General features: G+C 40.4%; 1 protein-coding gene across 2 annotated transcripts in view; it reads left to right on the plus strand.

The window, feature by feature from the left end:
- The window catches only part of DOCK5 (dedicator of cytokinesis 5), a 231,023-nt gene that overhangs the window by 40,385 nt on the left and 177,822 nt on the right, over positions 1 to 12,816 (plus strand). The gene's annotated exons all lie outside the window — the stretch shown is intronic.

Raw genomic sequence — 12,816 nt, forward strand, 5'->3', positions numbered from 1 at the left:
AAAACAAAAAACAAAAACCAAAATAAATGGTCATCCAGGATGTGGAGAAATTGGAACTCTTGTGCTCTGCTGGTGGGAATGTAAAATGGTGCAGTCCCTATGGAAAACATTGTGGTAGTTCCTCCAAAAATTAAAGATAGAATTACCATGTGATCCAGCAATTCCACTTCTAGGTATATCCAAAAGAACTGAAAGCAGGGTCTGGAGGAGATATTTTTACACTCGTGTTCATAGCAGCACCATTCACAATAGCAAAACATGGAAGCAACAAAATTGTGTACAGATGAATGGAGAAATAAAATGTGGTCTGACCATACAAAGGAATATTATTCAGCCTTAAAAAGGAAGGAAATTCTGCCGTGGTGGCTCACGCCTGTAATCCCAGCACTTCGGGAGGCCAAGGCAGGCGGATCACTAGGTAAAGAGATTGAGACCATCCTGGCTAACACAGTGAAACCCCGTCTCTACTAAAAATACACAAAATTAGCCGGGCGTGGTGGTGGGCACCTGTAGTCCCAGCTATTTGGGAGGCTGAGGCAGGAGAATGGCATGAACCCGGGATGCGGAGCTTGCAGTGAGCCGAGATCTCGTCACTGCACTCTGGCCTGGGCGACAGAGTGAGACTCAGTCTCAAAAAAAAAAAAAAAAGGAAATTCTGACACATGCTACAACATGGATGAACCTTGAGGACGTTATGCTAAGTGAAATAAGCCAGACACAAAAAAGCACTGTGTGGTTCTACTTATATGAGGTCCCTAGAGTAGTCAGAGTTAAAGGGACCCAAAGTAAAAAGGGAGTTACCAGGGGGTGGGAGTCTGGAGAGTGAATGGGGAGTTATTGCTGAATGAGTGTAGAGTTACACTTTTGCAAGATGAAAGAGTTCTGGAGGTTGGTTGCACTACAGTGTGAATATACTTAACACTACTGAACTGTACAATTGAAAATGCTTTAAGATGGTGAATGTTATGCTATGTTTATTTTACAACAATTGAAAATTAAGAAAAAATACTGAAGTCATTTAGCAGGTAAAATAAAACAAGAAAAATTGAATCTGTTTATTAGTTAAAATGAAACAAACATAGAAATAAATTAAGAAAAAAGTAAAATAAAATTTAAAAAGAGGGTAGTATGTATCCTCCACACTAGTCTTAATGCTTATATGTGCCAAATGTGTGTATAGGCTGCTTTTTTTTTTTTTTTTTTTTTTGGACAGAGTCTCACTCTGTCACCCAGGCTGGAGTGCAGGTGGCATGATCTTGGCTCACTGCAACCTCCATCTCCCAGGTTCAAGTGGTTTTCTTGCCTCAGCCTCCTGAGTAGCTGGGATTACAGGCTCGTGCCACCATGCCTAGCTAATTTTTTCTATTTTTATTAGAGACGGGGTTTCGCCATGTTGGCCAGGCTGGTCTCAAACTCCTGACCTCAGGTGATCTGCCCGTCTAGGCCTGGGATTACAGGCGCAAGCCACCATGCCTGACGTTACCCATGTTTTATTTTTTTATTTTTTTAATTTTAAGTTTTTTTTTTTTCGAGAGAGAGTCTCGCTGTGTTCCCCAGATTGGAGTGCAGTGGCGTGATCTCAGCTCCCTGCAAGCTCCGCCTCCTGGGTTCACGCCACTCTCCTGCCTCAGCCTCCTGAGTAGCTGGGACTACAGGCGCCCGCCACCACGCCCGGCTAATTTTTTGTATTTTTAGTAGAAACGGGGTTTCACCGTGTTAGCCAAGATGGTCTCGATCTCCTGACTTCGTGATCCACCCGTCTTGGCCTCCCAAAGTGCTGGGATTACAGGCGTGAGCCACCGCACCCGGCTCCTCCATGTTTTAAATCCATACCATGGACATCTTTCCAGGTCAGCAAATATAGATCTGACTCACTTTCCTTTAAAAGGTGACTAATTATCTGTGGGATGTGTGTACCATGATTTATTTCACGTTTCCTTTTTCTGAACCTTCAGGTTATTTCCAGTTTTGTTGCCACTACAGTGTTGCAATAAACAGCCTTATTCATATTACCATTTTATTGTGGTTGTTCTGACTTCTGCCGAATTTCAAAAAGTGTTGCTAGGTCAAGAGTAGTGCCAGATTGTTTTTCAAAAAGTCCAGAGCAGCTCACGTTCACACCACATCTGGTGAGAAGCCTGACTGCCGACCTCCCATGAGGGCCAGGTACTGTAATCTGCAGGTAGAAAATGGCTTGCTGTGATCTTTCAAACATATAGTTAGGAAGTTGAGTAGCTTTTATAAATTTATTACTTGCATTTTTTTTGGATGTGATAAAAGATAGGGAGTCTAATTTTGTTTTTTTTTCAAGCAAATAGCCAATTATACCCATGCTGTTTATTAAATCATTTGTCCTGCTAAATTAAAATACATAATTATATGCATTTTGGATATTTTCTTATTTGATTCCATTGATTTATTTTTTTATTTCTGTGTCAGTGCTAGATTGCTTTGGGTATGTAAACCTTATAGAAAGTTCCAATGTCTTGAAAGCAAAATCCCTTGCCATTTTTCCCTTCTCAAAATGTTGTGAACTCTCAGATACTTTTTCCTTCTTATGACGTTTTAAACCATTTGTTCAGTTATTTAAAAAAGTCCAAGTGAGGTTCTAATCCTATTTAAATCTACCACATATAATCTGGTGTGTGTATGTATTTGTATGTCTCATTGTGTTTTATGAATAAAGATATATCCTCATCTTTGTCAAGCAAACTACAAAGTATTAGATAATACTTTCTCTAGTTTTCTAAGCATCCATTAATAATTTATAGTATGGACATGAAGATGTTTTTCTGTGCTTTTGTTGTTGTTGTTGTTGTTTGTTTTTTTGAGACAAGGTCTCTCTCTGTCACCCAGGCTGGAGTGCAGTGGCAGGATCATGGCCTACTGCAGCCTCCACCTGCCAGGCTCCAGTGATCCTCCCACCTCAGCCTCCTGAGTAGCTGGGACCACAGACATGCACCACCACACCTGGCTAACTTTTTGTAGAGATGGAGTTTTGCCCTGTTGCTCAGGCTGGTCTCAAACTCCTGGGCTCAAGCGATCTGCCTGCCTTGGCCTCCCAAAGTGCTGGGATTACAGGTGTGCGCCACCATGCCTGGCCATTTTCTGTGTTTTTGAAACACACATTTACTTATTTAATGAAAATAGAACATCATATACTAAGATATTTCAGCATAGTTTTGTTCCACTTAGAAAAAGTTATGGCAATTTTATCAGTAACTGTCTAACTTAATACCCATACATGATGCAGGATAGGTGTGTCCCCAAATTGGGGCTTAACCTGGGAGGGTTCTTGGCTTCACTTAGGATGGAGTTCAAGGGTGAGCCAGTGGTGTTAAACAGTGACTTTGATTGAAGTGGCAGTGTACAGCAGTGGCAGAGGGGCTGTTCCTTGTGGCTACCCCATAGGCAGTGTGCCCACAATGGCAGCTCTGGTTCTACAGTCATATTTATACCACTTTGAGTTACAGACAGATTAAGGGGCAGAGTATGCAGTAATTTCTAGAAAAAGGATTGTAGCTTCTGTGTCTTTGGGTTGTTGCCATGGGAAGGGCAGTAACTTCCATGCGTTGCCGTGGCAGTGGTAACCTGACATAAATATGCTGAGGCAAGTCTCCCTTTAATTTTTCATTTTCAAGCTATTTTAAACTATTTTTAACCTTTTTTCACATGTTTATTCTTCCAGATATATTTTATTACCATTTTTGTGTCATTTTCTAAAAACCTTTTTTATTTCATTTGGAATTTAATTTAGTCTATGTTTTATTTAGAGAATTGAACTCTTCGTAAGATTACTTTTTTTCCTACAGGAACATGATGTGTATCTATTTTCTTGGTTCTTCTTTCAATCTTTTAAACAAAAAAAATTTGTGGGCTGGGCACAGTGTCTCACACCTGTAATCCCAGCACTCGGGGAGGCCAAGACGGGAGGATCACTTGAGCCCAGGAGTTCAAGACCAGTCTGGGCAACGTAGTAAGACCTCATGTCTACCAAAAAAAAAAAAAAAAAATTGTGATGCAAGAATTTTACACTCAGTTGAACTTGAAGGCAACGAAAAGTCGCAGATGCAGGAACCAGAAAGAATGCCACACATACGTTTCTTGACTTAAACAAATTGCTTGGAGCCAGGTGCAGTGGCTCACGTCTGTAATCGCAGCACTTTGGGAGGCCAAGGCAGGCAGATCACCTGAGGTTAGGAGTTTGAGATTAGCCTGACCAACATAGTGAAACCCCATCTCTACTAAAAATACAAAAATTAGCCGGGCATGGTGATGGTCACCTGTAATCCCAGATACTCTGGAGGTGAGGCAGGAGAACCTCTTGAACCCGGGAGGCAGAGGTTGCGGTGAGCTGAGATCTTGCTACTGCACTCCAGCCTGGGCGACAAAGCTAGACTCTGTATCAAAAAAAAAAAGTGCAGTTCCGGTGAATTTAAGTTTTCATTTCTTTTAAAATTAAGTCATAGAAATACTGATTTACCTTTCTTCAGACTGGAAGAAGAAATGAGATTGAAAAGAATTTTTCGTTTCTTTGCTTTGAATTGATTGCGACTAATTGTATCTCAAAAAGAAAATTTTATTTGGTTGCTTACATATATATATGAAGAAGGAAAATATATCAGAGGGTCATTCTAACCCTCTGATATATTCATATTTAATAATTCATAGACCTGAATGTTTCATTTGTTTATTTGATTGATTATCATTCCTTCATTGCATAAAAGGTAATTGGTCATTTGTTTTTATTCCTCCACTGTTTTTATTGTTCACTGTAAAAGTATAATTTAATACAGGGTAAAATTTATTATAAAGATCACTAATGTGGCCCTTGAAAAAAATGGTTCCAGCTTGCTCATCCTAGACTGCTTTTAATTCTCTATGATTTTAAGCAAGCTACTTTATTCAGGTCATAGTTTTCTCGTAAGTGAAAACTGCAATTGGATCTAGAATTACCTTCAATAAGAATCAGCAAGTATAGAGCCAGGGTTGGACATAAACAGTCTGAGTCCAGAGCTGGTGTGATTAAATATTATGTAATACTGCAGACCTCTTAATCTCTCAGAGATTATGTTTCTTTATCTGTAAAACGAGGACTATGAGCTCTTTCTTCTCTGCTGGTTTGCATGAGGCTCACATATAGTAATGCAGGAGTTTTGCAATGTCATCTCTGAACCAGGAGCACCAGTGGTATCTGAGAATGTGCTACAAACACACATTCTTGGGCTGTATTCCCAACCTACTGAATCAGAAACTAGGTTTGGGACCTTGCAACCTGGGTTGGAGGAAGCCTCTCACGTAATTCCGATGTGTGCTAAACGTCGCGAACCACTGGAATAATACCTATATGTAGGTTTGTGTTAACGTGCCATCAATTATGTAAACAGGTTTCCTTTTGTCATTATGATCCTCTCCTGCATACATATATAAATATCTGTCTAACTGGTTTTTGTTGTTTTAATTAAACATTGAATGCATGAAGAATATTTATACCAGGCTGGGCATGGTGACTCATGCCTGTAACCCCAGCACTTTGGGAGGCCAAAGTGGGAGGATTGCTTGAGCCCAGGAGTTTGAGACCAGCCTGGCCAACATGGTGAAACCTTGTCTCTACTAAAAATACAAAAATTTGCCAGGTGTGGTGGTGCATGCCTGTAACCCCAGTTACTTGGGAGGCTGAGGCAGGAGAATCACTTGAACCTGGGAAGGGGAGGTTGCAGTGAGCCAAGATGGTGCCACTGCACTCTAGCCTGGGTGATGATGTGAGACTCCATCTCAAAAATAAATAAATAAATAAATAAATTTACACCATTTGCGAAGAGTATGAAGAAGAACAGTAGCAAAAGTACCTACATATCCCTGTCAAATGAATTGCAAACAACATGATTCTCAGTATATTAATCCTATACTCATGCTCTTCCCTAATTGTCTGACACCTTGGCCCCACCCTGGATGTAAACATACCCTCGGGTTAGTGTGTTTCATTTCCTCCTTTTTTTTCTGTAGTTTTATCATCCATACACATATGTATATGCAAATTCATTTCACTTAGTTTTGTAAGACTTGGTATTATATCTAAAGGCATCATCCTGTGTATATTTTTTCTATAATTTTTCAATTCTCTCTACATTCTGTTAGTGTCATGCATGCACTCATTTTCCCTGCCATATAGAATTCTATATCTGAATATGCCATAATTTATTTCTCCGTTTTCCTTTCCATGGACATTAGGGGTGAATCTCTTTTCAAAGGGCTATCACACACAGTGCTTCCGTGAACTTTCTTGGACATATTTCCTGGTACACTTGTGCAAGTGTTTCTCTGGGGCATAGTCTTCAGATTACTACACTTGCACTTCGTGGGAAGAAATGCACTTTTTATCATAACCAAGCAATTTCATATTGTTTGTTGTAGTATAGAGAAATACAATGGATTCTTATACATTGACCAAAAAATTAGGCCCTGAAACCTCCCTAAAAACTCACATATTAGTTGTAGTAACTTTGTTTTTGCAAATGCCTTAAGATTTTCTATATAGATAATCATGGTATTTGCTCATAAACACAATTTTATATTATCCTTTGTAATTAATATGCCTTTTATTTCTTTTTCTTGCCTTATTGCATTAGCTAGACCCACCCTTAAAATGTGAAATAGAGCGATTCAAGCAGATATCTTTGCCTTGTACCTGGTATTAGAGGAGCACATTTAATATTTAACAGTTCATTATGGTGTTTTCTAGATGTGTATGATGGATTTTTTTTCTACTTTGCTGACAGGTTTTTATTATGAATAGAGATCAGATTTTACCAAATGTCTTTTCTATATCTATTAAGATGATCATATTTTTTTCCTTTTTTCATCATAATATGTTGGGTGATGTTGATATTGGAATGTTCCTCGGGTTATTTAGAGGTGTGTGTTTAGTTTTCAAATATTTTGAGAGTTCCTAAGTACCTTTCTGATACTAATTGGTAATTCAATTCTATTGTATTCAAAGAAAATGCTTTGTATGATTTGCATCCTTTTAAATTAATTAGGACTTGTTCTGTTGCCTGATCTATGTCATTTCTGGGTCTTTTTCTAAAAGTCTCTTTTCTCCTAACTATGAGTAATATTTTTCTTCTTCTTTGGCTACTTGGTAATCTTGAACCAGATGTCAGTCATGAATTTAATCCTCTTGGGAGGATTCTGCAATGCAGAATGCAATGCAATGCAATGCAGATGCAATGCAATGCAGAACAAGGCTGAGCTAGGAAACGTATTCAAGGTTTGCATTTAAGCTTTGTTATGCAGGACCAACACAGCCTTTATTCTGGGGCCAGTTTGGCTACATGTCTAAGTCTATTTGGGATACTATAACAAAGTCTCATAGACTGGGTGGCTAGTAAACAACAGAAATAGATTTCTCACAGTTTTGGCAGCTCAAAGTCCAAGGTCAAGGTTCCAGCATTGTCAGGTTCTGGTGAGGGCAGTCAGGTTCTGGTGAGGGCAACCTTCTGGGTTGCAGACTGCCAACTTATCACTGTGTCCTTGCATGGTACAAAAAGGGCAAGTGAGCTCTCTGGGGCCTTTTATAAGAGCACGAATCCCATTCATGAGAGCTCCACCCTCATGACTTAATTACCTCCCAAAAGCCCACCTCCTAATACCTAATACTATGGGCGTAGATTTCAACATAAACATTTAGGGGTACAGGAGACAAACATTCAGTCTGTAACACTGCACTACCGAGTACTTAGTACCCTTCTGAGCTCTCAGCCCAGTACCCTCATATTCCAAGCTTTCTCTACTCTGGTTGTGGGATCTGTAAGCTGTTCTCATCCATGTGCGTGGGTTGGGAACAATGCCTCTTGCTCTTTTCCAGTGATTTTTTTCTTAGCCTCGGGTATTTTCACACACATGCACTGACCAGTACTCAGCTAAAGACTTGGGGAACCTTCTACACATCTCTAGCACTCTCTCTGAGCAGCCCTCTTCTCTCTGGTTCTCTGCCCTGCACATTCTAGCCACCTTGACCCCCCTGAATTCTCCACTCTCCTGGTCTCAGAGTGACCACTGGCTGCCTGCACAATAGCCTGGAAACCCTGTTCAAGCAGTAAGTGCAGGCAGGTGTAGACTTCACTTATCTGTTTCTCTCCTCTCAGGTATCACTCCCTGCATTGCCTGCTGTTCAGTGTCTGAAAACCAACGTGTCATGTACATTTTGCCTAGTTTTTAATGCTTAAAGCAGGATAATTCATCTGGTCCCTGATGGGTTGCTTCCCTAGTCCACCTGGGCAACAAGTAGAATTGATATATGTATTTTTTAGGTAGAAAACAAATCCCAAATTCAAACTGATATTTCCAACCCACGTCATCCCAGAATCAGTTAACCTTTTTGATTGTGTACTTGTCTTTGATGCTGAAAGATCTTGGTTCCAAAGACATGACCAATAGTTGCTCGTTGTTTCTTCTCATTTTATTCTTAACCAGAAGAGTTAGGTAAAACACCAGCTCACTTTACTGATGAGGGAACAGAAGCCTGCAAAGATTGAATCACTTGCCCTAGAGTCCAGGATGGTAGTTTTTTGGCCACATTATGGAAAATATCTTCAATGGCACAGCTGTAATTTTGTTCGCCTTGGTCTATCACTTTTCTTTCTTTTTTAAAATTCTAGATATTTTTTAGTGCTTCACTTTTTAAAAAATTTTGTTTTATTTTTAATTTTTATAAGTACATAGTAGGTGTATATATTTATGGGGTACACGAGATGTTTTGATGCAGACATGCAATGTGAAATAATCACATCAGGTCTGTCACTTTGAACTTCACACACACACCTATGTACACATGTCCTATCCTTCTGTTTCCTCACTGCAATTTCAGTAGGGTGTGATTCTGGAGTATATAAATACCCAGGAAGTTGAGATTCAGTTCTAAAATCCTCCTGAGTAGGATCCAGAGGTTAAAGGAGTCAGGCCAGAGCTTGTCCTCAGACTGGCCCAGGGCCGGAAGCTGCTGTTGTACTTGCATTTTTTAGGTTGTTATTGTCAAAGTAATGACTTGTGTAGCCTGGTTGGGGATCATTGCTTTTCTCAGTGAAATGTGTTTGTCTCATTCATGTACATATAGAGAGGATAATCGGTGACATCCTCAACTATCATTTAAAAGTGCTTTTTCTAGATTCCACAGTAACCTCTGGCATTTATCTTCAGATTCTCTATTCCTTAGTGATGATTTCTGTCTATAACAGAGTCTTAGCTCAACAGAGTCTTAGATGTGACCGTCTTAATCTTAGATCTGTTCACCTTTTGTTTCATAAGGATGTGTACCAAGAAGAACCTGATAAGGAGACTTTATTTGCTTTGGAAAAGATGTTCTGGGCTGGGTAGTGAGCTGTTTTCCTTCATTATTAAAGACTGCAATAGTTGCTATCAGATTTTTTTCTGTTTTACTTTTTCCTATTTTGTTTAATAAGGAAGATATTCATTGAGAAAAATGGAGGCTAATAGAACTATAGGCATGAATAACATTAGCATGTGTACCTTTGATATTATATACAGCCTGAGGGTCCTGTGGTGAGTACATGGCTGAGGCCATCTTTAGTATTCTGGATAATACCCTGGTTTCTCAATGAATTGTTGCAGAAATGCTTGGAAGGGGCAGCAAGAAATGGTGAATGTATTAAAATACTCCCCGCACCTGGTGCTGTTTCTTAAAGGAGCTCTGTATTTAGCGGCCTGCAATAAAATGGCTTTGCTCTAATCAAAGACATCTGCATTTCATTGTCCATCAACCATTGCCTTGGAAGGACCATTGAGGCTGATTTGTTCTTGACCTCTCCAGTCCTTCCTGATTCACTGTTTTCATTGACCGACTCCCACTGGTTTATTGATGAGGGGTTAGTGTCCATCTTTGAGGATGTAGGTGTCACCATGCCCTGAATGGGAAGCTGGACACGGCGAGAAAGGGGAAGGAGTGGAGGGGAGGAGACTGCTCTTTACTCACTGTCTGCCAGGTGTTAGTCATCATTCTGGCCCTGCACAAATTCTCCTTTTTGGGCCTCACAAAACCATAGGAAGAATGTACTGTTGCCTCCCTTTTTCAGAGGAGGAAGCTGTGGGAAAAAACTCCTATGATTATACACCATAGACTTTTTGTTCTGTAATTTTGTTTTTGTTTGTTTGTTTGTTTGAGACAGGATCTTGCTCTGTCGCCTACGTAGTGCAGTGGTACAATCTCAGCTCACTGTAGCCTCGACTGCTACAATCTCAGCTCACTGAAGCCTCAACCTCCTGGGCTCAAGCGATCCTCCCACCTCACCCTCTCGGGTAGCTAGGACCATAGGCACACACCATTATGCCTGGCTAATTTTTATAATTTTTTGAGACAGGGTCTCCCTATGTTGCCCAGGCTGGTCTCAAACTCCTGAGGTCAAGCAATCCTCCCACTCAGCCTCCCGAAATGCTGGGATTACAGGCGTGAGCCACTATGCTGGGCCTTTGTTCTGTAATTTCGAATTGCCTTGTTTCTGCTTTCCTGCTGTAAGCATTTCATATAAATTTAATGTCATATTCATGTAAATGATGTGGCTTCTAAGTCATCACTTGCTGCCAGTGAGGCAATCAAGAAACAATATTTGAGTTTATATCTGAGAAATACCCCTCCAGTTCAAGATATTTATCTATTCCCTTCACAAATATATGTAATCTTTAAGATAGAGATTTTTTTCTTTTCTTTTCCTTTTTTTTTTTTTTTTTTGAAACGGAGTCTCACTGTCGTGCAGGCTGGAGTGCAGTGGCACGATCTCAGCTCACTGCAACCTCCACCTCCTAGATTCAAGCGATTCTCATGCCTCAGCCTCCCGAGTAGCTAGGATAACAGGTGCGTGCTGCCATGCCTGTCTAATTTTTATATTTTTAGTAGAGACTGGGTTTTACCATGTTGGCCAGGCTGATCTTGAACTCCTGGCCTCAAGTGAGCCACCTGCCTCGGCCTCCCAAAATGCTGGAATGACAGACATGAGCCACTGCACCTGGCCAAGATAGAGATTTCTAAATAGTAATCAATGCATTGATTATGAAATCCTCTCTTCTCCTAAACTATCTAGAAAATGAAGTTAAGAATCCTGTAAGAGCCTGCTCTTATGGAGTACTGTTGGTGAGAAGTAGAGCTGATGTCCTAACCTGATAGCCTCCGTCCTGGATGGGTCTGAGCAGAGAGGTGGCGTGATGGTCATCTCATTGTAGAAAGACTGATTTGGAACCTACTTGTAATTATCATCCTAAAACCACAGATTTGACTTCTTGGTGTTATACCTATTATTGAATATGATTTTCTTGTCCTTATAGTACAGTGTAATTACAGAGCATAAGAAAATGAAATCTGTTTGGCCCTCTTGGATATCATTGCAGGAAAGCCAAGATGAAGATCAAAGATGAGTTGTGCCTCTTTAGTTTTTATAGAATGCATATCTGAAACTAGGCAGATCAAGATCATAATGGAAAAGAAGAATTGTAACCATCTTTTTTTTATTTTTTTTGAAACAGAGTCTCACTCTGTTGCCCAGGCTGGAGTGCAGTGGTGCGATGCTGGCTCACTGCAGCCTCCGCCTCCCAGGTTCAAGCGATTCTCCTGCCTCAGCCTTCTGAGTAGCTGGGATTACAGGCATGAGCCACCACACCCAGCTAGTTTTTTTGTGTGGTTTTTTTTTTGTATTTTTAGTAGAGATGGGGTTTTACCATGTTGGCCAAGCTGGTCTCGAACTCCTGACCTCAACTTATCCACCTGCCTCGGCCTCCCAAAGTTCTGGGATGACAGGCATAAGCCACTGCGCCTGGCCATAGTCATCTTTGGAATATTATGAATGATATATGTCTCCAATGGGTATCTCATTCTGTGTTTGCTGGATCTTTCTTTTGTAGATTCTATCAGGTGACTAATAAAAAATATAATGTAGCTATTCTTCAGGGGATTGTAATTTGAGGATTCATGTAATAATCTCATTCATTAGAAATATTCATTACTTGGCCGGACTGGATGTCCCATGCCTGTAATCTGAGCACTTTGGGAGGCCAAGGTGGGTGGATCACATGAGCCCAGGAGTTCGAGACCAGCCTGTCCAACATGGTGAAACTTTGTCTCTACAAAAAAATTTTAAAAATTAGCCAGGTGTGGTGGCACATGCCTGTCGTTCTAGGTACTTGGGGGGATGAGGCGGGAGGATCACCAGAGCCTAGGGAGGTCAAGGCTACAGTGACCCACGATTGTGCCACTGTACTCTGGCCTGGTTGATAGAGTGAGATCCTGTCTCAAAAAAATAAAAAATAAACATAAAAAAAGAAATATTTATTACTTTCTAGCCTACAGACTTTTCATTGTCAAAACTGATCACTCAGTTTGCAGCCAGTAAGTCTGTTCTGTTGGTTTCTTATTGCATAATCCCAGGACTTCAGTTTTCTTCTCTCATGTAAGCCTGGTTTAAAAGAAAGAGCCAAATCAAAGATTCAGTAAAATGCAAACTATTTTGTCTTGTCTACTTGGCTCTGCAAAATTATACTTTCCTGTTATAAACAGTAAGCTGCTTAGGGAAGAATTCCAGCAATTTGTCTTTCCCAGTGCTGTTCATGGCAGCCAGCGAGGCAACGTATGTACAGCAACTCCCGGTTCTTGTTTAATTTCCTCAGTCAAAACAAGAGATTGTGGTGGTGCCTGCCGGTTCAAAAATGGCACATGTTTCTTTTGCCTCTTCTCATTACCCCGTGAATCAGAAGGCGTTAGAACCAGAGGGCTCTTTAAAGGCAATCCTGTTTTACAGATAAGAAACTGAGGCC

Source organism: Homo sapiens, chromosome 8 (assembly GCF_000001405.40).
Source record: "Homo sapiens chromosome 8, GRCh38.p14 Primary Assembly".
Classification (NCBI taxonomy): domain Eukaryota; kingdom Metazoa; phylum Chordata; class Mammalia; order Primates; family Hominidae; genus Homo; species Homo sapiens.